At 37.9% G+C, this 27,918-nt stretch overlaps 1 annotated feature.

The window, feature by feature from the left end:
• Positions 4,735-5,934: an enhancer, noted in NCBI's record as "P300/CBP strongly-dependent group 1 enhancer chr7:121184357-121185556 (GRCh37/hg19 assembly coordinates)". NCBI's record gives its function as "activates an origin of replication core promoter dependent on BRD2, BRD4, P300/CBP, MED14 and CDK7 cofactors, with strong dependence on P300/CBP, by STARR-seq in HCT116 cells {active_cell/tissue: HCT116}" and the evidence as "EXISTENCE:reporter gene assay evidence [ECO:0000049][PMID:35650434]".

The raw sequence follows: 27,918 nt of genomic DNA on the forward strand, positions 1-27,918 counted from the left end.
AGTCTGTTTTCACACTGCTATAAAGATACCACCCAAGACTTGGTAATTTATAAACAAAGGAGGTTTAATTGACTCACAGTTCTGCATGGCTGGGAAGGCCTCAAGAAACTTACAATCATGGTGGAAGAGGAAGCAGGTACCTTCTTCACAAGGTGGTAAAAGAGAGAAGAGTGAAAAAGGAACTTCCAAACACTTATAAAATCATCAGATCTCATGAGAACTCACTCACTATCATGAGAACAGCATGGGGGAAACTGCCTCCATAATCCAATCACCTCCCTCCCTCAACACGTGGGGATTATGATTCGAGATGAGATTCCAGAGGGGATACAGAGCCAAACCATATCAGTCTCCTTGGTGAGAAGTGAGTTCTCCCTCAGTTAGTTCACATGAGATTTGGTTGTTTAAAGGAGTCTGGGACCTCCTCCTTTGCTCTCTTGTTCCCTCTCTTGCCGTGTGATGTGCTGGCTGCCCTTGGCCTTCTACCATGATTGCAAGCTTCTTAAGGCCCTCACCAGAAGCAGATACCAGCACTATGATTCTTGTACAGCCTGCAGAACTGTGAGCCAATTAAACCTCTTTTCTTTTTAAATCATCCAGTCTCAGGTATTTGTTTATAGCATTGCAAGAATGGACTAACACAAATCAGAAGACATTTTTTAAAAATGATTATTGTTTGAATATATAGAAACAGAGGGTAGAAAGGTAGCTATTGGGTGGTGGAGGGGTGAAGGAAATGGAAGTCAAAGCTTACAAAGTTGTGGTTATGTAAGATGAATAAGTAGAGATGCAGTGTACAGCATGAGGACTATAGTTCATAATACTGTATTGTATACTGGAAATTTGCTGAAAGAGTAGATTTTAGGTACTTTTACCACGTACACACAAAAAAGGTAACCATGTGTGATGATGGGTATATTAATTGGCTTGACTTTAGTAATTATTTCACTGTGTGTATATCAAAACATCAAATATATTTAAGGGATACAACATGATGTTTTTACATATATATGATATATGTGTTTTTACATATATAATTATACATATTAAGGAGAGCAGCCTCTAACTTTATATATATATATATATATATATATGTATATGGTATATGTATATGGGTATATATGTATACATATATGTATACATATATATGGGTATTTTATATATGTACACACACCCATATGTAAAATTATTTAAAGGCTGCTGTCTTGAGTTTTTGTGGAGATAAACAAGTTAACATTAATTAAAATTATGTTTCTTGGAAACATAATTAAATGTGATGCAGATGGTTATTAAATTTAAAATCAAAATTTTATTTGTTTGGCCATTGTGATTAGTCCCAGGATGAAGACTGTCTTTTCATAACCATGATAGAAAGGAATCACAAAGAATGCTTAACAGAAGATTACATTGCATGAAGTAAATTTAAATAGCCTGAAGCCAATTGCTTTAAAGACTTCAGTAAATTTTGTTTGATATACAAATATCAAATCTTATCTGTTTTTGTCTGAAATTAGACATCAGTATAGTGTTATTTGTCATAATTTCAGTTATTTTTGAAAATGTTAACCATATAGTAACCTTATTTCTTTAATTTGAATTCTAGGCCAATGGTTTTCAACTGGGAATTCACGCAACTCATATCTGGAGTTTTATTAATATAACAGATGTTTAGTACCTCCTCCAGATTTACTGAGCCTTTTTACTTAATAATTTTGATACATTCTTGGGTTATTCTAATTGTATGCTTGTTTAGTCATGTATGTTATATGTCAAGATTATTCTATCTGAAGGCTTTTTCTCTGTAAAAATTATGTTCATCCATTTTCATAAATTATATATGATATCCACTCTTTGAAAATATGGCTAATTTTATGTTTGTTTGTATTTTGTCTTTAACTTTTTGAGTGATTTTATTTTGCACATCACAGAAAGAATCAAACTTCCTTGTTAACTGTATTATTCCTGTAACAAATCCTCTTCAGATCTTTGTTTTGAAAATCATTAATAATAAGCTAACCACACCCATTTTAAATCTCTGTCATCTACAGAAAGGGTTTGTTTTGTCATGATGCTTCCCTGAAACCACTTGCAATAAGCTACAGGCCAGTGTGTTATTATCAACAAAGAAAGACTGTCTTAGAGCCTTGGGAAAGGACTATACCAGGCACTGTACCTTGGTGTACAGCTTCTGATGGTATTGCATGAACAACTTTGAGGCCATCCCGGTGGACTGAGTCAGTATATCTGGACTTCAGTCCACAAATGAGTCCATGATATGGCTACCCCAGGATTGTGTGGAACAAGAATTCATTGCATAGGGCTAAATCAACTAATGGGTAACACTTGTTGGTTTTGTTTGGAATATTGTTGATGTTTTAATATTCTGTGTTCTGGATGTAAAGAACCCTTTCTCTCTTTTCTGTTAAGCTGTCTATAACTTATAACAATTTAGTAGACTCTGTTTTATAAACAGAAATAAAACTCTTATCTTTTTTCCCTGCTTGTTCCCTCTAGAAATCAGAAACTCTTATTAAATATTCTTATTTTCACAGCAACAGAGTTATATGCATAGGTTCACTAAGAAGAGATTATATTGTATCCCTTGTCATTAACAAGGAAACAACAATGTTTCCAATTATGTCCTGTTATTAATAAGGATAGTCCTTATTATTCACCAACCAAGACCATGCCTGCCATTTCATATTTGATAATGATGCGTATTTAATCAGATATGACCAGGCACTAAAGAAACTTGGATTGACTTGATGGAGCCGATGCTTTTGAAGCCCTCTTAGGAAAACTTGCCCATTACCTGTCTTACAGGGTTTAAAGGGCTTACAGGGCCTACACTGTTCCTTCTTAGCCTTAGAGCTGAGGAAGGAAGGCTACTTCCTGGTAATCCTAAGAATTTCAGAATATTTGAGGGACCTCAAGAAGAAAGGAATTAATCTAAATATATAGGTGAAATCTGATGATGAATTATTGGCTTGGCATACTAGCCTCAAGGGGCATTTAAAAGTTAAAATTGCCCGGGCATAGTGGCTCACGCCTGTAATCCTAGCACTTTGGGAGGTTGAGGTGGCCGGATCACTTGAGGTCAGGAGTTCGACACCAGCTAGACCAACATGGTGAAACCCTGTTTCTCCTGAAAATACAGAAATTAGCTAGGTGTGGTGGCACGTGCCTGTAGTTCCTGCTACTCTGGAGGTTGAGGCATGAGAATTGCTTGAACCCAGGAGGCAGAGGTTGCAGTGAGCTGAGATCATGTGACTGCACACCGGCCTGGGCAACAGAGCAAGACTCTGTCCCAAAAAACAAACAAACAAACAAAACCTAAATAACTACATAAATAAAAGTTGAAATTGAATCAAGAGTTCCTAATGATAACTTCCAGGAAAGCAAACTTAAAAAGATATATATGGTAAATTACCATTCTTACTGTACCTCTGTACATAATCAGGCTAAATCCAGTAAGAATGAAACCACATTATTTTATGATCAAGAATAATCACTTTTTTTCTCTTCTTTCCTTTTCCTCTTTTTTTTTTTTTTTTCTTTGAGATGGAGTCTCACTGTCACTCAGGCTGGAGTGCAGTGGCACGATCTCGGCTCACTGAAAGCTCAGCCTCCTGGGTTCATGACATTCTTCTGCCTCAGCCTCCTGAGTAGCTGGGACTACAGGCGCCCGCCACCACGCCTGACTAATTTTTTTGTATTTTTTTAGTAGAGACGGGGTTTCACCATGTTAGCCAGGATGGTCTTGATCCCCTGACCTCGTGATCCTCCCGCCTTGGCCTCCCAAAGTGCTGGGATTACAGGTGTGAGCCACTGCACCTGGCCCTGTTTTTTTTAAAGACTATCTTTGTTCAGGAAAACTTTGTTTCAGTGGAAAACTATAGCAGATCTTTTTGAGTTATCAGATTTGAAACAATAATTCAATCGTCTTTGAACTATTTGTGCCTCTTTATAAATTGTAGGTAACTGATGGATGTGCTAACTCTGTTTGGTTGAGATTTAATTGGCTTCCTTCCCCACTGTGCAATAACTGGTTTTGTAACCTACTTGTGATTAGACTGGATTTTGTTACCTTGAACAAATTGTCAATTTTTACCATGTTTTCAATTCTTCTCATTTTTTTTTTCAATATCTGGCTATAACCTTTCAAACTAACATTTCCAACTTTTCTCCCTCCCTCTTAACTTGGTCTCACTGAGAACAAAAGTCTGACTATCTAGAGATCCTTATCGAGACTCAAAGTTGCCTTGTAGCTGTTCTTTCACCTCCAGATCTGAAGAAGGACTGGGGGCTAAAACCTGATGACTTGATATATACCCTGAGGGACTTATCACCACAGAAGACCATAATGGACTGAATTTCTCCCTGAGCAAGTTACTGTCTAGGCCACTAAGAAAGCTCACTGAAATGCTCAGGTCATGCATAACCTTACATGAGAAGTAACCAAGACTGGACAACATCACCAAGAACATTAACTTCTTAACTTCAAGAAACTCCATAAGCAGTGCTACATAATCAAAAGGTTTTCATCCACTGACTCTGGAATCCACTGGACCAAACTTTCTCAGGGTTGAACTCTTGGGTCTTTACTTTAATCCAGCTTTATATATATATATTTTTTTTATTTTTCATATAGATGCCTGATCTCTAGGACTCTAAAACAACTGAGCTTTGCCTCTACCTTTCAATAGATGTGTTTATGGGAGGCCATTATTTTGGACTAGTTTCCTGTGTTAGGCCCTAGCAGACAAGACCAAATTATAATGGAGTTACTTGGGCTAAGTGCCACATAATCAAACTGAACTTTCCAACAGGTCAGTTTTCCAAAAAAAACCCCCAGCAGATTCTAGTACCTGAGTCAGCATAATAAGGATGCCTCCTCTGTTTGAACCCTATAAGGAAAGTAACGTTGAAAGGATGAGTCTGTTTTTTATTCTCTCTTTTTGTTTCCTTTGGCTCTTTTCATTCTATAAATCTAACCTCCTCCATTCAGTTCATTTGAACACTCACTCTATTTTATAGAATGAGGTGTTCCCTGATTCTAGAATTGAAAATAAAAGTCAATTATAAATTTAAACTAAATACATTGTAATTTTATTTTTTGATGGGTGATTTAATTAATTTTGAAGACATCATGTCATTAAGAGTCCTCGCAAGCATAGTTCTTTTACCCTGGTTCACCTCACTCAGGAGATTTATGGCCACCTTTGACTTGTGCAACAGTGAATGAAATTTATCTGTCTTGATCAAAAGGGAAAGAGGACTAACAATGTTGAACTTTTCCAGAGCCTCATGCTTTCAGAAAATAGTTGTGGTTAAGAAATCTCACCAACTTTTTGTTTTCAGAAATGCCTCACCGTTTTGTGTTCTGAAAAACAGCTTAAGGAAATGAATCACCCTTCTCCATGTGACTCACATAGCACTCACTGTCCATTCTTTCTTGTGACCCCCATCAGGCTTGTAAATGGCTTTCTTGTTTACCTGTGACAAGGCCAAACACACACTTTTCACCTTTGTTTGAACCTGCTGACAAAGCCAGGTATAAATTCCCCCTTCCCTTTGCCTCTACCCAATGTCCCATTATTCCTTTTTTTTTTTTTTTTTTGGAGATGGAGTCTCACTCTGTCATTCAGGCTGGAGTGCAGTGGCATAATCTCAGCTCACTGCAACCTCTGCCTCCCAGGTCCAAGCAATTCTCCTGCCTCAGCCTCCCTAGTAGCTGAGATTACAGGTGCACCCCACCACACCCAGCTAATTTTTGTAGTTTTAGTAGAGATGGGGTTTCACCATGTTGGCCAGGCTGGTCTTGAACTTCTGGACTCAAGTGACCTGCCCACCTCAGCCTCCCAAAGTGCTGGGATTACAAATTACAAACGTCTATTCTTTATCTCATGAATGATTAGCTAAGGTTACAACTGTTTGTTTTTGAACTAGCAAGACACAGAAATAAACATTTTCTGCCCACTTAAATAACAGAGACCTCTTCTGATTGCAAAACAATACAGCTGGGAATCCCCACACCTGCAATTTGTCTACTCTTTCCTGTAAATGCCTTAAGGCAAATCCACTCTGCAGAGACACTGTAATTTTCTGATCTGTGGGACTCTCCCTATGGCACTAGCTGGAATAATATCACCTTCTCAATTGTCTCATGCATTTTGTCTTCAACAGTACTGAGAATAATTCCCTGGGCGGCATCAGTGATTGGGTGCTAGTGAGAGTTGCATTCCCTTTTCTTTCTACTTTCCAGACAAGTAAAAGAAACAAAGCAATAAAGAACCATCAAACAAGACTTTGACAGATAATAATATATTCTGTGGATAATTTCTACTTCAGAGATAGGCAATTACACATTTTTAAAAGCAATTTTTACTGCTCAGTTACAGCAAGTTTGCCTATTTACAAAATAAATGCTGTTTTATTATTTTTAAACATGTCTTACTTACTGCATGCCTCTCCATTTTTAAGAAAACCCCAGTTACTCTGACTGAGCAGGAGAGTTTAGGAAAGGAAGGAAATCATATTGGCTGATCTTCCAATAAGTGACAGACTTGGGCTAGACATTTACATTTATTTGATCCTTTCAGCAACCTGGTGAGGTAGGCATTATCTCCATTTTAGAGATAAGGAACTGAGGCTTGGTGGTGTTAATATCTCACTCAGCATCACACACCTAGTAACTGATAGAGTTTTATGCTTTCCTAACATCTTACATGCCTTCAGTGATGATAATTCTTCAGAAATTAGTAAACATTCTGTGAATTTTTAATATTCTGTGAATTTTAGAACTCATTAAGACAAACACACATCTATGCCTTGTACTCGTATAAAACCTATTGAATGTTACAAATTATGTCTTATCGTTCCAAAATTTCAGATTTTTTTTCCCAGAAATCAAACTCAATGCTGTTTGGAAAATTTTTGCATAAACCAGCATTCAGATTAAGCAAAATAGAGAGATAAATGAAGAGTTGAATCAAAACAAAGTTGAAAACCAAAATAAAATTTTAATTATTTGGTACATTTAATCAGGAAGGATCTTCTTACAAGGCAGTTCTGTGCAAAACATCAATGAGTGCTAATAAATAAGGACATATGTGTGTCCCAAAAGATTTGTCTTCAAGGTATTGTGAAAAAAGTTCCTGGAGCCACCTATGAGAGAGAGTGCATCTGGTCTAATTGCAAACTTCAAGCAATTGTTAAACTTCTTATTGCCTTCTTGAACACCTCTCTGGACTCACCTGTGTAGGTCTGTCTCTGTCCTCCTCCGGGCTGTCTGTGAGTTTCAGTTCTACCCTTCTACCCATACTAAGGGAGAGTCCACTCCAGCCTTGTGGACGTCTAGTTGCATATTCACTTTATCCATAACCTTGACATCTTCGTGAAATAATAAGTGGGTAGGGAAAAAAATTTCTCCTATACACTAGTGGAAATTGTATACTAAAAAATTTCAGCTATTTAACAGAGGGCCAGGAGTTTGGAAATTAGAAGCTGTTTCCCAACATCAGCAAAATAAAGGATTCCACTTTATTTATTTGAAGCCACAATTATCCAACCCACTTCAACGGTTGCTTCATATAATGAGTCTTAGAGTCAGAAAAACTATAATTTAATGACCCCTGATTATGTAGGCTGAAAACTTGGATTCAATGTGGTAATTAGATAAGGCATGTTTGTTTATCTGACATTAGATAAGGCATTTTACCTTCCATCAGCCACAATTTCTAATTTTCCTGCAGATGTTTACACATGTTTTGGGGAAAAAGCTTTTATGGTACTACAGATGCAGCCATTGCAGCTTGGCAGAATGCTACAGGAGCAGAATAATCATCAGAGATGTTCCTAAGCAAAGAAGGAAAACCAGTTCTGAAAAAATGGCAATGATTAAATAAGGTAAAAAGTACACTATTTCCAATGGAATTATGTGATTTTTAAAAAAACTTTGAGAGATGTGAATTTGTCTATGTATAAATAGGTAGACAAAATTGTTCACAAGTAATTTTAAATATTTTTTTCTTTCAGAAATGAAATATTCTTCAATTTAAGGAAATTCTGACGTTTCAGTACGCTAGTGTGTGATGTTCAGCTATTATAGATGCTCCTAGCGCCATCTGGTGAGATATACAAGCAATAGCATCAATATTTGACTCATGCTTTGTAAACCCAGGAGACACTTACTCTGCAGAAAATAGGCAGTAGAACAACCTCCACTTATTACACTATGAAGTTTGTCCTCAGATACTAAGAAAAATCACTGTGTAACCTTGATGTGCATGTAACATCATTTTAATAATGCAGATATGGATCTCACTGAACATTTTAATTGTACCTTTATCCTTGAAATGTTTATCAACCTCTGGTGCCATTTTCTCTTCAAATAAATTTTGCATACATTTCCAACTGAAGTTAATGGAAAGTTAGAATATACATTTGAGATTACAAGTTAACCTAAAATTCATGTTGTAACATGCAAATTAGAAGAAAAATCATTTTGCTTAATTCTTTAGGACTATTTGACATTTCAATTGGAGGTGCAGTAATTTCTTATCGAAAACAAAAGAATAGATGTTTTCTTTTGGAAAACAGACTTGATATGTGTACATGATATTTCTATTAGAGGAAAAGAATATTGAAGAAGAGGATGAAGTTGGCTTTGAATAAGTTGAAAAACATCAGGGTTAGAGGTGCTGAATGTAAAAACATTTAGTGTTTTGACTTCTAATATCACAGACACCTTTTCTCCAAGAGTTACTGGTATAAAATATGTAAATTTACCTCAGACAAAAATATACAGAAGTGTAAAATGCCTTCAATTCCTCCTTACATAAGCTCTATCTGTTGTAAACCAAGTTCAGCATATGTGTAATCAAGAGCTTCTGGAACAGCAGGGAATCACCTGAGCATTGGGAATCTTCAATTTGTTCCATCTCTCAGACAGGTTGCTGAGTGCAGTGCCATCTTATGCATGTAGGCATTTGTTGGTGGTTTGCTGTTTTAGCACAAATGACAGTATAGATACGATTTGCATAGCAAGCTTAAATAGTTAATGATCAAGAAATATGACAAGACTTTATCTGATAAACATTTACTCTTATTTTTCTGACAGAGTAATGTTGATAAACACCAAAAAGCTCTTTCCACAAATACCACAGTAGAATTCACAATCAGAACCAACTACAAAATTTGCAGTGGTGTGCTCAATGCACCATGAAAATGCAAGCCCCTTTGTTCAAAAATTTTAAGGAATTTCAAGATGGCAACAAAAGAATCTTAAATCAAATGCAGGGCCCTTCTGAGCACAGTGGCCCCATATGACTGCACAGGTGGCACAGCCATGAACTCATTGACGTAGGCCAATATTTTATTTTGCACTTGTGGAAAGGTAAACTGAGGCACATTAAAGCATTAAAAACTCTATTAAAGACTTTATTTGAGCATTTAGTGATCCATGGATCTGGGTACTTCCAGACTGCAAGTGGTTTGGGGACTCCAATAAAGGCAAAGGTACTTTTATAAGGTGAATGAGGGAGCAAGGCAAAGGAAACATTTGGGGAGAGGTAGCCTCGCTCAACTCATTCCCCTGGAAAGTCCTAGCTAGAGGTTAGTTGGTGATTTCTGGGTTAGTTAAAGTTTTATTTTACCGTTTATACTGAATTGGGTTTGAGTTTGCTTACACAGGAACCCAAGGTGCTAGAATCACCTCAGCCCAATGACCTCCTAATTAAATTTTTTTAAACACTCTTATGGCCGGGTGCAGTGGCTCATGCCTGTAATTCCAACACTTTGGGAGGTCGCCTGAGGTCAGGAGATTGAGACCAGCCTGACCAACATGGCAAAACCCCGTCTCTACTAAAAATACAAAAACTGGCTGGGCATGGTGTCAGGTGCCTGTAATCCCAGCTACTTGGGAGGTTGAGACAGGAGAATCACTTGAACCTGGGAGGTAGAGGTTGCAGTGAGCTGAGATGGTGCCACTGCACTCCAGCCTGGGTGACAGAGTGAGACTCCATCTCAAAAACAAACAAACAAACAAACAAACAAACAAACACACTCTTATTTAGTGTTTATTGAGCAAAGCCATTACATGTATGTATATTATCAGTTATAAATATTACCTCAATATATAAAGATTAAAACAGATCTCTGCTACAATTTCTGATTACCTCATTAAAAAAAAAGGATGAACAAATTGGTAGGCTCAGCCTTTTCACAGCTTCCTGAAATCATACTCATATGCAGTGGATACTACTGGGTGCATAGAGGCAAATTCACTGTTGCGGGTAATGAAGCTAAAAGTTTGGAGCCAGAACAAGGCTCTGGGAAGTGCTCTGGCAATTAAAACACATTTCATATGTCTGCAAAAGTAAGATTTTTTTTTTTTGACATGGACTTTCACTCTTGCTGCCCAGGCTGGAGTGCAGTGGTGCAATCTCGGCTCACTGCAACCTCTACCTCCTGCGTTCCAGTGATTCTCCTGACTTAGCCTCCCAAGTACCTGGGCTTACAGGCACCCGCCACCATGCCGCTCTAATTTTATATTTTTAGTAGAGATGGGGTTTCACCATGTTGGCCAGGCTGGTCTTGAACTCCTGACCTCGAGTGATCCACCTGCCTCAGCCTCCCAAAGTGTTGGGATTACAGGTGTGAGCCATTGTGCCTGGCCAAAAGTAAGATTTTTAACTGCAATCTATTATAAACCTTGGTTCTGTCCACTCTGACTTCCCCTTTGTCCCTCTTATCCTGTGTCAGGTGCAATTGGAGTGGCCATGGGTATTTCTAAGATCTAGTTGAGGGGAAATTGAGTTCATCCGGACTTAGAGGAATATGTTTTTGTGGTTTGTAGTTACTTCTGTGTATAGTTATTGCCAGCCATCCTGGGGTACTCCTACACTCACTATGCTGACACAAAGTTGCTTGGCCAGGATTCATATCATGAAGAGCATATGTCCTCCACCTCCAGCACCAGAAAGCGGTGGGTAGTGGAGAAGCAGCAAGGTTCACCATGCACAGAGTCATAAATTCATCTGTGGCAAAGCATGTAGAAATGTGCCAGAAAAAATAACATATTTATTGTCCCTTTTTTGATAGTTTTTTTCCAAATGTGTTGTGTATTATAATTTCCTTTCATGTTTTAAATAAAAATTGATTTATACATCTAAATTCATATTTGTAAATTATATACATTTCAGACCACTTAAAACCTGGATCTGTCCCACTGAAGGCTGAGAAATGAAAGCAGAGAAAGACTGAAGGTCTGGCCTAGATTTCATTCAGATGGGGATTATAGTCCGGTTCAGATAAAAATCAAGTATAGCTGAGCTGGAAGAGAAATTATTGTAGTAAGAATGTAGTGATTTATTATTAACATCCCTCAACCCTCCATTTGTAGGTTTAGTTTTAAATGTAAGATTTCAGGAAAAGGGAGAGCTTTGACTTTCACAAGCCCCAGCTTCTCCCCTCTGTGCGACCTCTGGCTGGGCTTCCCCCACCCAGGCCCCCTTCCCTGCATGGACTCCTTTCTTTCCAAGATCCACTCAGCACCTCCTTCCTCTCTCTCAGTACTCCTTAGTCTATCTTTGTTTCTCTCCACAACTCTTCTCAACCATATCACCCACTGTTTTCTCACCTGGGTGACGTTCCCAGCTCTCAACTTTGCCAATTTCTATTTCTTTTCAAAATTGATCTGCTCCACTAGCCCTTTTCTTCAGGTGCTAAGTTTGATAGATAGCTAGTAAATAAAAAAATAAAAACTGAAATAATCAGTTAAATAGGTTTTAATTAGTATCATCAACTTTCTTCTTGTGTACTTTTAAAAAATTGACTTTATTTTATAGAATAGTTTAGATTTGAAAAGATGGTACAAAGAGTTCCCATATACTTTGCACCAGTTTCCCAAATTGTTAACACTTTACATTAGTATATTTGTTACAATTAATGAGCCAATATTTACATATTGTCTAAAGTTCCTACTTTATTCATGTTTCCTTACTTTTTATCTGATGTCTTATTTCTCTCCAAGGATCCATCTAAAGTACTATATTACCTTAAGTCGTCATTTCCCCTTTGGCTTTTTTTAGTTGTAATGACTTTTTGGACTTTTCTTGTTTTTGATCATTTTCACAATTTTTCAAAAGTACTGGCCAGGTATTTTTGTAGGATGTTTTTCTATTGGAGTTTGTCTGATGATTTCCTCATAATTAGATGTGGAGATTATGAGTATTGGAAGGAAAATAACAGAGGTAAACTGTCGTTGTTACCACATCACAGCAAGGAGATATACATATAAGGGTACATGCATACTATTAATATGATTTATTACTATTGATGTTGACCTTGATCACCTGGCTAAGGCAGTGTTTGTCAGGTTTCTTCATTGTGAGGTTTTGTGCTTTTCCCCCTTTGTATAACTATAGTCTTTGCAAGGAAAAAACTATGCATTGCCCACACTTAAGGAGTGGGGAGTTATGCCACCTCCTAGAGGGTGGAGTATCAATGGAAATAATTTGGAATCTTCTGCATGGGAGATTTGTCTCTTCTCCTCATTTATTAATTTATTCAATCATTTATTTATATCAAAATAGATTCTCTGATATTTATTTTTATTTGTTTTATACTTTAGGTATCTAATACCTTTTTTTTTTGAGACACAGTCTTGCTCTGTTGCCCAGACTGGAGTGCAGTGACATGATCTTGGCTCACTGCAGCCTCTACCTCCTGGGCTCATGTGATCCTCCTGCCTCAGCCTCCAAAGTAGCTGGGACTACAGGCATGCACCACCACATCCAGCTAATTTTTTTAGTTTTTGTAGAGACAGAGTTTTGTCATGTTGCTCAGGCTGGTCTCGAACTCCTGGGCCCAAGCAATTCACCTGCCTTGGCCTTCCAAAGTGCTGGATTACAGGCATGAGCCACTGTGCATGGCCTCCAATACTTTTCAAATGTCGTTTATTCCATGAATGTTTCCAGCTTTGGTCACTGGGAGTCCTTTCAGTTGGTTCTTGGGCTCCTTGGACATACCTCCATCAGCACAGTGTTTTATTCTCCCTTTTGGTTGTTGCTTGAGTACTTCCTTACTGTCTAGCACAACAGGAAGTCCAGCTGATAGTCTCCTGGCTTGGAGAGATAGTAGTGCCTCTTTACATCTTCCCAGGTGGCCTCCACTGACTCATCAGAGGAGAGGTAGAGTCCCAAGTCCTGATTTTTCTACCAGAACCCCAGGGGGAGAGGAAAGTGTCAAATCATAGGGTGGGCTGGAAGTCTAGGCTACCCTCTTGGTCTTTGCCAGCATGAGTGGTGGTGGAGCCACATATTTTTTTCTGCAGTGTTTGGCTGAAGTCAAGCAGTTATTGTATAAAACTTTTCTGTGTTTCTAGCTTGAGCTTTGATTAGAAAGAATAGACTTTGTTGGAACTATATAGTTTTTCTGCATTCATTCACATTGCCATGTAACTGGCTTCTTCAGCTCCCAAAGTCTAGGGATATATGAGACAAAACAAAACAAAACAAAACAAAACAAACAAAACACACATACACACAACACAACAAAATAACAACCTCCCTGCCCCCACCCCCCACCCCACCCGCCCCCGCCAAGGAACTCATCTCCATGTTGTTCGTTTGGTCCTGAGGTCCCTTTCTGCTGTCTTCTCTCAAGCATTCAAAGTTTTCTGTCTTTTATGTATATATATATATATATATATATATATATATATATATATATATATATATATATTTTTTTCTTTTTGGAGACGAATCTTGCTCTGTTGCCCAGTTTGGAGTACAGTGGTGCAATCTTGGCTGTCTGCAACCTCCATTTCCCAGGTTCAAATGATTCTCCTGCTTCAGCATTCTCCGTAGCTGGGGTTACAGTCACCCACCAACATGCCTGGCTAATTTTTATATTTTTAGTAGAGACAGAGTTTCACCATTTTGGCCAGGTTGGTCTCAAACTCCTGACCTCAGGTGACCTGCCCTCCTTGGCCTCCCAAAGTGCTGGGATTACAGGTGTGAGCCACTGCGTCCTCATTCAAAGTTTTCTTATGTTTGCTTTATATATTATGTCAAGGGGTTTTAGAAGTACTTAGCAGGAGGAGTAGGTAAGATTATGTCTATTTCATCTTCCCAGAAGTGGAAATCCCTTACTTCCTTTTCAAAAGTTCTCTTTAGAAGCAACAGTCAAATTCAATACCATACTGGGAATGTATTTTGTTGCAGGTGCAACTCCCTGCTTTTTTCCATGAGTCACTAAATATTTCTTATTTTCTTTTAGCAAACATACGGGAACCTTTATTTTATATTTCACTTATAAATTTAAAGGAGGAAAATAGGAAATTAGTATGCCATCAAAAAAGGTGAGTTTTCACTTAAACCTACTTAAATTATAGTTTTATGTTTAAGTCAATGACATATACTCCACTGAGCAAATCATGAGTTGGTTTCTGACCCCATCAGATAGTAAGAAATGTGATATGAAGACTGAGATGGCTAAGGAGTCACATTCTGTGAGATGAAACACAATGATTTTGCTTCCACACAGCAGTAGAATGACACACAGTGATGAGAAGCTTTCCATGAGCGTGCTAAAAGCAGTGTCCAACATCTGGTAGAACTCACAAATTTTCCAGGGACAGTTACGTGTGCCAGTTAATCTAAAATCAGTTATCACCTTGTCAACTAAGTAAAAATGACCCAAATGCCCTAAATTCTTTCACTGCTGTGGGTTCTCTGAAACAGTTAACCGAAACCTCAATTTAATTTAACAACCCTCTCAATAAGCATAGTAGTCAAATTCAGTCCTATGATCATTTTGACCATACTGAAATTAACTCGCTTTTCTATTATGCAATGACTTTCAGGTTTTTGTTTTATCTCTTGAAATTAAAAGAAAATTTAAATTGTTCTTATACATATTCTTGAAAACCTTGAATATGTGTGTAATTATTCATCAGAATCTTTTAGAATTCAAATATACACCCTTTCAGGTTGGAAATGAATTGATATTGGATAAAATGTGGTGGTAAAGATAGTCTGAAGAGAAATATTTCTATTCCAGAAAACAAAGAGCAAATAAATAGAAATAATTAGAATATTATCACTATTCATGTAAGACAATATTTATCTAAGGCCAATCATTTTTAAAGTATGGAGCAGGCTACAAAGTTTATGACAATGAGGGTAAAAAGAAGAAATGAAGAAAAGACTTAAGATAATTATTTTTAAATATTAGTGGTTCTCTTAAGTGTGGATCCTGAATCAGTGGTATCAACATCACTTGGGAACCAATTATATCAGCAAATTCACACACCCCCAATCCAGGCCTGATGATTCAAATTCTCCAAGGGCGGAGCATGACAAGACGTGTTTTGACAAACCCTGCAGGTAATTTTACATGTATATATATATATACACACACACACACACACATATATACACATACATGCATTATATCAATGAATAATTGATATACACACATATCAATATACACACATTGATATCAATGAATAATGTGTGTGTATATATATTTATATATAAATGAATAACGTGTGTGTGTATATATATAAATACACGTTATTCATTGATATCAATATTTTATGTCAAATGAGGAAGAATTTTAAACATTTTTTCTAATGTGTTCATATAATTTGCTCATCTTCATTTTGTGGGTTATCAAATACTACAAGAGTCTTATTTGTTACTTCTCATAAATTTATCTCTTTCCTAATGAATTACTGTTTTTCATGTAATTTGAATTTTTAGGTTACAAGTCACTTTCAATGACAGATTAATTTCCCTTGTTTTCATTATTCATCTTTATGAACTTTGCTTATATCTCACTAATTTTTAGTTTTTCTCATTTATTTAATAAATAAATAAGTGTGAACATGTTACCTCATACATATTAGAAAATAGGGAATACGTTATTTCTAACTGGTTTTATTGAAACATTTTTAAAGCTCTTTGCAAATTGCAGTTACAATGGCATAGTTCGAACCCAACTTCTGCTTAGTTGAACCTAAAAAATGTTACAGCCACTATAATGTCTTCAGCAGGTGGGAGTAGGATAGAGAAAAGATCAGAGTAAAAAGAGACAGTTACCTTTAACTTAAATTATAGCTCGTGTTTTTCACTTTTGCAAATTTTACATGCAACCATGGATCCATCCTCCTCAGGCCTATTATAGCCTTCAGGGGAAGCTTCCATGGAAATAACTTAATCTGGTGAGATCCCCCTGAGCTCAGGAAGGTAGAGATCCCAAGCCTCATGCCTCAGCCAGACTTATCTCGAGGAACCACTTAATAATGTTTTCTATGCCACAAGAATCTTGCTGAATAATCTATTTTATATTTACAGGACACTCAACTGAACAACAATACAATTCATTTTATGCATATTCCATTCATCCAGAAAATTTAATGTGTCTAGTGATTGAATGACAGCAAACAAGTATGTAGTTTTAATGTAGGAAAACATTCAATTATATTTTCAACACTGCTTTTTTTTCAATGAGGGAAAGAAAATCTAAAGCATCAAAGTATTATAAAACAATTCTATTTCATAAATCAGGGGAAATGTCAAGATGGAAAATATGGAGTAAAAACCCTCTGTCATTGTACTAACATAAGTATTATGTTTTTTCTCCATGTATGGTTTAGAAAATCATCAATTCTTAAAATTCAGTGGAGACCAGAACATTTTGGGTAAAGTTCAGACCTCTGAGTGGTGTTGAAAGCTAAGAAAGCGAAGGACAAGAAGGTGGGGAGGTATAGTCAGTACTATCCTAGGAGCACGCAAGTGTGGCTAAACAAACAGTCACGTTTTCCAGGGTCCGAGACCATGGTCACTGGGACATGGAGAGGATCTTGCCAGGGCCCTGTCATGCCTATGAAAACAAAGCTAAAGATTATTTGGAGAGATATAGAAGAGCTTTGGCTTTTCTTTACCGGGAATGATGGAAAGGAGAAAGAAGGTGCCCATACCTCCTATTTGAAGCCTATACCTAGACTACCACATGACTCCACTCTCAGTGAAGACATTTCTAACAGGAAGATAGACTTTTTATTCATGTGCTCTTTACTAAGAGAGGATTTATGCTATCTTTTTGGTATGAAGGAAGGATTGAGGGCAATTTTTTTTTTTTTTTTTGAGACACGGTCTCACTCTGTTGCCCAGGCTAGAGTGCAGTGACACAATCATAGCTCACTGCAGCCTTGATGTCCCAGGCTCAATTGATCCTCCCACATCAGCCTCTTGAGTAGCTGGGACTACAGGCATGCACCACCACACCATGCTAATATTTTTTATTTTTAGTAGAGACAAGGTCTTGCCATGTTGCCCAGACTGGCCTCAAACTCCTGAGCTTAAGCAATCCACCTGCCTCAGCCTCCCAAAGTGCTGGGATTACAGGTGTGATCAACAGAGTTATTTTTATTTTTCAATGTTTTTAATTAAATTTCTTCTTATCCAATCCATCCCTCAACCAATTATTTAACACACGATTATGGAGCAACTACTAAGTGCCATACATTGTGCTAAATTCTGGGAATAAAATGGAGTCCTGCACCTTAAGAAACACACAGTCCTGTAGAGAAAGGTTGTATATAAACACTTTAGTGCTATAATATGTAGGAGGTGATCAGACAGCTGCCTGTACAAAGTACCATGTGAACACAGAGGAGTTGTGAGGTGTGTGTGTGTGTTGTAAAAAGATGCAGACATTTAAACATGGTCTTAAATTTCTTCAGACTCCTCCCCCTGAGAGGTGGGATTTATGTTCTTTCTCCTGGAATTTGGGAGGCTTGTACCTGTTTTGAGCAACACAGTGTGGTGGAAATGAACCAAAGTGACTTCTGAGGCTGAAGCTTCTTCCTGGTTCCTTTGGAATGCTCATGCTCTGGATACTTCCTCTCAGAACCCAACTGCCACTCAGCGAGAAGCCCAAGCCCCTTGGAGAGGTCCTGTGCAGACTCTGGTTCCTCCTGAACCCAGCCTCAGGCTCATCCAGCCCCAACATCAGATGTGTGAGTGAAGAAACCTTTAGATAATTCCATCCTGAGCCACTTGTGTCTCTCTTAGCTCAGGCCTCAATCATCCCAGGACAGAAACAAGCCATCTAGGTTGTGCCTGGTGGAAATTTCTGACTCATAGAATCCATGAGCAATAAAACCACAATAAAATTGTGATTGTTTTATGCCACTAAGTTTGTGGGGATTTGCTAGGCAGCAATAGCAAATTGGAACAGGAGAATTTCAGGCAAGGCTTTCTATAATATAGAGCACTTGAACGAAACATAATCGCCATTAAGAGCACAGGCCTTGGTATTAGAACTAGATGAAAATTCCAGTTCTACAATGAACACTAGTTCATGCCACTTGTATAACCTCTAGTAGTTTTTTTGTAAGTATTCTGAGAGATAATGACTGAAAGTGCTTTGTACAGTGTTGCCTTAAAGTAAGCAATCAGTTCTTAGCTTAAAAAAAGATGAATAGAAGTAATAAAAGCAAAAAACAAGCAATTGTACTAAACATAGTATCTACCATTCCAGTTAGTGTAATCGTATGACTCGGCTTACAATTCTCATTTATTCTCTTTGTCCTGGGACCCTTTCAATTTTAGCATACATCCTAGATTCTTTGTTTATTAATTTTTAAAATAAAATAGCAACATTAACAATTGCATTAAAATAATCAGGGATAGATTTGGTGGACCTTCACATTGTATTTAGAATTTCTGCTGTCCAATGTATGGAGTTCTTACTTAAACTTGCACTTCAATCTAGAAGATGATCAGCTATTCATCTTTTCCCATCTCTTTTCAGACAAAACACAATTATCCCCTTTCTTTCAGGCACAGCATGAAAGACACTCTCAGATAAATGCACTGAATGTGAGTGACAAGGGATAGATTAGCTCCAGTGTAGAGCGGGATGGAAAAATACTTGAAGCTTCTGCCTCTGCTGGCCACGTGGCATATAAGCCCATGTTCCATAGCTTTGTATTAGCCTTTGAGATTCACAAACCTGCAGTCACCAATCTGCTGCATCACTGGGAAACACTGGAAACTATAAGTTAGATGTGCATGAAGTAATTTGGAGAAATAAGAGTCTGAACAGTTATTCTGAATAATGCATCAAAGTGGGCCGAATGTTATTGCTACAGTGGTTTAGTTATTTATTATATAGGGTATAATAAGTAGTATTCCCTTAGGGATCACATTTTTTGGTTAGTCTTTTGTTTTTTTCTTTTGCAACAAACTTTTTTGACATCAATGAGCTTAAAACAAAACAAAAAAACAAACAAAAATCCAAAGTCTATATTTAATGGGAAATTAAGCACCTAAACATTCATTTCCTAATAAATGCAATGATGCACATAATAAGATTGTGCAAGCTTTGAGGATGTTTACCATCCAACTATGAAAGCTGTAGTAACATCACGGACCGTGTGAACATCCAAAAATAAAAATATTCTTAAGATGCTTGAGCATTCCCTTCAGAAGTTGGTAGTAGGTAGTCATGTTAGGAAGGTTGTACATAATATTTCATTAAATTAAACAAGTCTTCTTTGAATTAACTTCACTCTTTTCTGATTTCCATTTTTTACATGTACAAAAAGTGAAGCAATAGTTATTAACGTGTTGGTTTGGTTAGAATTTCACAAACAGTTAAAGAAAGTCTAACTTTTGGCAGTGACACCAGATGCTTCACATAGAAAGTCAGATACATTAATTCCAATGGTTCAATTTTTAAAATTCAACTCATGGAACCAGCGAAAAGCTTCTGAAATTTAATTTAACTGAAAGTGAAATATCTGACACTACAGATGCTCCTTGTCTTACTATGGGATCACCTCTCCATAAGCTCATCATGAATTGAAAATATCAGAAGCTGAAAATGCATTTAATATAACCAACCTACCAAACATCATAGCTTAACCTAGTCTACCTTAAATGCGCTCAGGAACTTTCCATTAGCCTACAGTTGGGCAAATTCATCTCACACAAAGTCTATTTTATAATAAAGTGCTTAATATCTTATGTAATTTGTTGAATACCATACTGAAAGTGAAAAATAGAACAGTTGTATGAGCACTAAAAGTACAATTTCTACTAAATGCATATTGATTTCACATTGTTGTAAAGTTGAAAAGCATTAAGTCCAACCACTGTAAGTTGGGGAACATCCTTATTATGATTGGTACTATACATTAAATTAAATGTTCAATATTGAAGAAAAAGTTTTATGTTTTGATGAGACAACGTGAATAAAATGTTTATGGAAAACAGGGCCATAGTAAACACAATGCTATAATTAAATTATTTATGGAGCAAATATACTTGGAATTGTCATGCACATTCAACTTGTCATTATATCTAAATAAACATCTGTATTGTATTAATCAAAACCTATGGTTGCTGAAATTTATCTATGTGTTTTTACATATACACAACTGAGTAACTGAAGTATAAACTTTTTTGTGACAAGTTAAAAAATAAGTTACTATGGTGGCACATGCTTTTTTCTTTGCTGCCTATTAACCTAATAAATTTCCTTTAGTATTTTATAGTGGTATTGAACTTTGAAAAGTGAGTCCTCTTTTTTTTGCGTTTTATTCAAAATCAGTTGGAAATGTTTAAATGAATTATTTAATGGAGTACCAACAATCTCTTGACATTTTTAATGTCAAAGTGTCAACAATCTTTGACATTTTTAGATAATTGCAATTATAGTCAAATCCTGCAAACAGAAAGACATGGAAATTTAGTCCTATAAAATAAAAGCAAGGGATAAACTGAACAAAATCAATGAAAAGGCCCCAGATGGTGTACAAATTTTGAAATTCTACTTCATTTTGGAGTAACTTGACTTATGGCAATTTTTTTGGATGCAGCTTCTATTTTTGATCAGCAGTATTCGATCTGCTGTTAATTCCATCCAAGTATATATTTTTTCACTCAGATATTACATTTTCATCTCTAGAAGTTTAATTCAGGTCTTTTTTTTTTTTACATCTTTATGCTCTTCTTTAATGTTCTCATGATTTCCTTTATTTTCTTGAACATATGGAATCTAGTTGTAATAACGGTCTTGATGACCTTGTCTACTAATTCTATATTTGTTTCATTTTTGGATCTGTTTCTATTGATTTAATTTTCCCCATATGGGTCACATTTCCCTTTCATGTCTGTCAGTTTTGTTTGGATGCCATGCAATGTGAATTTTAACGTGCTGGATGCTGGATACTTATACACTCCTGTTCATATTATTGAATCTTGTTCTGAGGCTCAGTTTGTTACTTGAAAACAGTACAATCCTTTTGAAGCCTGCTTTTAAAATTTGCTAGGCAAAGCCTGAGCAGCCTTTAGTCCAGGACTCATTTTTTGTCATATGAATTAAGAGAGGTTTACACTCTGACTACTGGGAAAACACTATTTCAGACTCTACATGAGCTATGAGGATTGTTGCGTTTCATTATTTCTGATATTTTTCTCTCCAGTTTTGGGTAGTTTTCTCACGTGCATGTATTGATTGGTACTTACCTGAAGACTTGAGGGGAACTCTTCCTACTTTTCTGGGCTCTCTCTTTGTAAAGCTCTCTCTGCTCCATACAGCTTTCTCTTCTCTGGTATTCTGCACTGCAAATTCTATTTTCTTGGCCTCTCCGAATTGGCAACTCTGTCTTTCCACTAAGCAAGTCTGCCAGCCTGTGGTTTGGGTCCCCCTTCCCTGGACACTTTTTTTGGGAGTAAGCTAGAACAATCCTAAGCTTACTTCATTTGCTCTATTCTCTCAGGGGATCCCTTTCCTGAGCTGCCTTTTGTCCAATGTATGAAATCTGCTTTGTATATTTTGTCCATTTTAAAATTGCTTAAAGTGAAAGATCAAATGTGTTTGCTATTAATTATCAAATCTAGAAGCAGAAGTCCCTGAAAATGATATGTGAATAGAATCATTACTTATGTCTACAAATAGCATCAAATGATAAATCAGTAAATAAGTATCTCAAATAGTATACAATTTTCATTATTTTTGTGTCTACTTTTATTCACAAAAGTGTCCTAGTTTGGGTGATAAATTATCTGGTAGCTCTAATTCTAGTATTTTAATGATATATGTTAACATTTAGTACTAAAATAATTCATAAAATTCTGGGTTAAGTTTTTTGTTTTAATTCAAATACAATTAAAACATGGCAACACCTTAATTCTCTTTGTATGTGTTGATTAGTGAGCCCAATGATTAAATTTTGAAACAGTACCGTATAATTGTTTCCTATTAAATAAAGCTTTCAAATGCATATGAGGAGTCTGTCAAAAGCCTGGCACTCTGCCAGAATTCAGAGCCACATGGAGTTTTTGAACCTCATGTGCAAGGAATTCAGTTAAATGTATACTACTCAGTTTATCTCATACTTCCAATATATGTCCTTACTTGGCTCTTTTTGTTTTACTTTTCCCCATCTCTTCATCCCCTGTCCCACTTCCCTTCTCCACATGTCTGATATATCATATACTTGTATGTTCTTGAAGTGCATGTTTGCTTTTTTATTTGCATCGATGGCTTTGTACCATAGACTGAATTCTATTTTTTGCATATTTTAACTCCATGTGTTTTAAGATCTATTTATGTTGGTATATGTATATCTCATTCATTGTTTCTAGTTGCTACATAGTATTCCATTGTGTGTATCTACCACATTTTATTATAAGATGCCCTGTAGATAGACGCCACTGTTGCCTCAAACTCTTGACTATGCAAGCAAAATGATGATTATCCTTGCTCACTACCCTTATGGACATACATGTGAGTTTCTCTGCAATATAAATGCAGGAATGATCTTTTTGGATCATAAATTCTCTGAGTACTATCAGGTTACTATTCATGAAATTGTTACCATTCCTGAAATTGTTGCCAGAGTATGTGACCCTTAGCAATGCAGTGGCTCCTCATTTATCCACATAGTTCTCAACATTTGGTGTTTTTGTAGTCTATGTTTTGCCAATCTGAGAAATACAAAATGGTATGTCATCATTTCAGTTTTCATTAATCTGATTACCAGTGGGTTTCAGTCTCTCTGGTTTTCCTTCTTTTTCTAAATGATCTACCTGAGTTTCTATTCATATAGAAATAAAATCTTTTGACTTGTTTAGGCTCTATATTTTCTACTAATCTTGTTCAACCTTAATTTTGATGTAATTGAGTATGCCACCTTTTCACGTTATTGTTTTGATTTTGGGCCTCCTGTTTCAGAAGCCCTTCTGTACTCGTAGGCTTATAAAGATAATCTCTTACATTTTCCTTAATTTCATTTCAGTCTTTACTTTCCCAGTTAGGTCTTTAACTCTTCTGATGTTGACTTTTGAATATCATGCCTTACTCTATTTGATATGGTGGGCTACTTTTTCCATGGAATCCTTATAATGACTTTCACACATTACTAAATTCAAAATATGTGTCATGAATAAGATGATGTTTTAAGCACAATAGCATTTTAAAATAACCAGTGATGATCTATTTCTACACATTGATAACATCTATAAATTTTCAGGTATCGTTCGTGTGTGTTTGCTAGATATTTATGTATTTTATTAGCTGGGATGATCTTGTGAAGCCCAATGACACAAATAGTAGCAGAGAGAAGGTATTTGGCTAATATAGGTCCAAAATATGTCCAAAAACGTCAAAGCTTGTGGATTTATGGTTTATTGCTGGGAAGAGATACAATAGAGCAATGGCATTAAAGTAATCTATATATCCCAGCCAAAGGCTGCTTTCCAAAAAGTGGAGAAGCTGGTTCCAATTGTCCTCCCTCTGCAGGCCTGTGCTAGAATGCACTTTTTCTCTCCAGTCAGGAATGACTGATATGTACATCTAACATCCAGGAACCAGGAGTCTGGGCTGACCTTTTTATATCATACTGGTCACATAGGCATCTTTTTGCAATCTAATCAGTAACAGAGCCTTTAGGGATCTCAATAACAACAGGTGCAAACCATCAATCTCACCATTTACCAAAAACAATGCTGATAAGCTGGTACACCTTAGACCCATGTTTCCTCAGATCCATATTTTCATGCGTGTCCATGTGAAGAGACCACCAAACAGGCTTTGTGTGAGCAATAAAAGCTTTTAATCACCTGGGTACAGGCAGGCTGAGAACGAAAAGAGAGTCAGTGAAGGGAGATGGGGTGGGGCTGTTTTATAGGATTTGGGTAGGTAAAGGAAAAAGGGGGTTTTTCTCTGGCGGGCAGGAATGGGGGTCACAAGGTACTCAGTGGGGGAGCTTTTGAGCCAGGATGAGCCAGGAGAAGGAATTTCACAAGACAATGTCATCAGTTAAGGCAGGAACAGGCCATTTTCATTTCTTTTGTGGTGGAATGTCATCAGTTAAGGCAGGAACTGGCCGTCTGGATGTGTACATGCAGGTCACAGGGGATATGATGGCTTAGCTTGGGCTCAGAGGCCTGACATTCCTGTCTTCTTATATTAATAAGAAAAATAAAATGAAATAGTGGTAAAGTGTTGGGACAGTGAAAATTTTTGGGGGTGGTATGGAGAGATAATGGGCGATGTTTCTCAGGGCTGCTTCGGGCGGGATTAGGGGTGGCGTGGGAACCTAGAGTGGGAGCAATTAAGCTGAAGGAAGATTTTGTGGTAAGGGGTGATATTGTGGGGTTGTTAGAAGAAATATTTGTCTTGTAGAATTATTGGTGATGGCCTGGATATGGTTTTATATGAATTGAAAAACTAAATGGAATAAGAGAAGGAGAAAAACAGGTATAAAAGGTCTAAGAATTGGGAGGACCTAGGACATCTGATTAGAGGGTGCCTAAGGAGATTCAGCATAGTCCTGCCAGCAAAGATTATTTATTTACTTCAAGAGTTAAGAGTGGCAGTTTGGGGATAGCACCAGGAGATATCAGCTGTGGTGGCTTGGAGAAACAGTGTAAACTGGCAGTGTAAACAAGAGCAGGGCATGTATGAGTAGTTGAGAACGGCGAATAGGAGTATGACTAGACAGAAGATAGTAGGGATGACAAGTTTTTTGGGGCACAGTCTAAGTTGGTCTGGTGTCTGGAATGAGACTGGGGCCTAATAAAAAGGAGCGTCAATACAGGAGCTCAAATGGGCTGTACCTTGTAGCATTCCGAGGACAGGCCTGAATTCTGAGAAGGGAAAGTGGTAAAAGTATTGTTCAGTCCTTTTTAAGTTGGTGGCTGAGCTTGGTGATGTGTGTTTTTAAAAGACTTTTAGTCCGTTCTACATTTCCTGAAGATGGAGGACCATAAGGGATATAAAGGTTTCACTGAATCCTAAGAGCTTGAAAAACTGCTTGGCTGATTTGACTGATAAAAGCTGGTCTGTTATCAAACTACATAGAGGTGGGAAGGCTAAACTGAGGAATTATGTCTGACAGAAGGGAAGAAATGACTGCGGTGGCCTTCTCAGACCCTGTAGGAAAGGCCTCTACCTATCCAGTGAAAGTGTCTACCTAGACTAAGAGGTATTTTAGTTTTCTGACTCGGGGCATGTTGAGTAAATCTAATTTGCCAGTCCTGGGTGGGGGCAAATCCTCGAGCTTGATGTGTAGGGAAGGGAGGGGGCCTGAATAATCCCTGAGGAGTAGTAGAATAGCAGATGGAACACTGAGAAATTATTTCCTTGAGGATAGATTTCTACGATGGAAAGGAAATGAGAGGTTCTAAGAGGCGGGCTAGTGGCTTGTACTATAGCATAGCCTGCCTTTGCTGGTGTGTGGCTATTAGGCCTGGTGGAACTGCTATCAATAAATCAAGCGTGATCAGGGTGAGCAACAGGAAAGAAGGAAATTTGGGGAAATGGGGTGAATGTCAGGTGGATCAGAGAGATACAGTCATGGGGGTCAGGTGTGGTATCAGGAATAATGTGGGAGGCCGGATTGAAGTCAGGGCCAGGAACAATGGTAATTGTGGGACTTAACAAAGAGTGAGTACAGCTGAAGGAGCCGGGGAGCAGAAAGTATATGCATCAGGTGTGAGGAAGAAAATAGATTTTGGAAATTATGAGAGCTGTAGAGAGTGAGTTGAGCATAGTTTGTGATTTTGAGGGCCTCTAAAAGTATTAGGGCAGCAGCAGCCACTGCACAGAGATATGATGGCCAGCCTAAAACAGTAAGGTCAAGTTGTTTGGACAAAAAGGCTACAGGACGCGATCCTGGTCCTTGTGTAAGAATTCTGCCTGCACAGCCCTGCACTTCAGCTGTGTGTAATGAAAAGGGTTGGGATGAGTCAGGGAGAGCTAGAGTGGGGGCAGTCTCTAAAGCTGTCTTCAAGGAACGGAAAGAGGAGTGGGGAAAGGATTTAGGATCTATGGGGTCAGCTAAGTTTCCTTTTGTGAGTTTATATAATGGTTTTGTTAGGATGGCAAAACCAGGTATCTAAAGGCGAAAGTATACAACCATGCCTAGGAAGGAAAGGAGTTGTTGTTTTGTAGAAGGGGTTGGGGTTTGAGAGATCAGTTAGACACGATCGGCAGGGAGAGCACGTGTGTTTTTGTGAAGAATTATGCCGAGGTAGGTAACGGATGGAGAAGAAATTTGAGCTTTGGAGGGGGATACCTGATATCCTTTGGAGAATAAATGCTGAAGGAGCAGAAGTGTGTCTTGTTGAGAAGATTCAAAGGTGGGGCTACAAAGAAGAAGGTCATCAATATATTGAATAAGGTGAGAAGCGGAGGGGTGGAAAGAAAGTAAATCATGAGAAAGAGCTTGTCTGAAGTAATGAGGGCTGTCCTTGAAACCTTGCGGCAGCACAGCCCAGGTAAGCTGCTGGGACTGATGGGTGTCAGGGTCAGTCTGGGTGAAAGCAAAGAGAGGCTGGGATGAGGGGTGCAGGGGAATAGTGAAAAAGCGTCTTTAAGATTGAGAATGGAATAGTGAGTTGTGGAGGAAGGTATTGAGGACAAAACAGTGTATGGATTGATGGATAGGCAAAACAATTTGGTTGATAAGGCGCAGATCCTGAACTAATCTGTAAGACTTGTCCGGTTTTTGGACAGGTAAAATGGGGGAATTGTAAGGAGAGTTTATAGGTTTTAGAAGTCTATGCTGTAGCAGGCAAGTGATAACAGGTTTTAATCCTTTTAAAGCGTGCTGTGGGATGGGATACTGGCGTTGAGCAGGGTAAGTGTGGTTAGGTTTTAATGGGATGGTAACGGGCATGTGATCGGTTGCCAGGGAAGGAGTAGAGATGTCCTATACTTGTGGGTTAAGGTGAGGGGATACGAGAGGAAGACGCAAAGGTGGCTTTGGGTTGGGGAGAAGGGTGGCAATGAGATGTGGCTGTAGTCCAGGAATAGTCAGTGAAGCACATAATTTGGTTAAAATATCTCGGCCTAATAAGGGAACTGGGCAGGTGGGGATAACTAAAAAAGAGTGCATAAAAGAGTATTGTCTAAGTTGGCACTAGAGTTGGGGAGTTTTAAGAGGTTTAGAAGCCTGGCTCTCAATACTTACAACAGTTATGGAGGCAAGGGAAACAGGCCTTTGAAAAGAAGGTAATATGGAGTGGGTAGCCTCCATATTGATTAAGAAGGGGACGGACTTATCCTCCACTGTGACAGTTACTTAAAGCTCGGTGTTCTTGATGGTCTACGGGGCTTCCAAGGTGATCGGGCAGCATCAGTCTTCAGCTGCTAAGCCGAGAAGATCTGGGAAGGAGTCAGTCAGAGAGCCTTGGGCCAGAGTTCTAGGGGCTCTGGGAGTGGCTGCCAGGTGAGTTGAACAGTCCGATTTCTAGTGGGGTCCTGCACAGATGGGACACCGCTTAGGAGGAATCCTGGGCTGCGGGCATTCCTTGGCCTGGTGGCCAGATTTCTGGCACTTGTAGCAAGCTCCTGGGGGAGGTGGTTCTGGAGGAACATCTGGCCGCT

The sequence above is a fragment of the Homo sapiens genome, chromosome 7 (genome assembly GCF_000001405.40).
Source record: "Homo sapiens chromosome 7, GRCh38.p14 Primary Assembly".
Taxonomy (NCBI): Eukaryota; Metazoa; Chordata; class Mammalia; order Primates; family Hominidae; genus Homo; species Homo sapiens.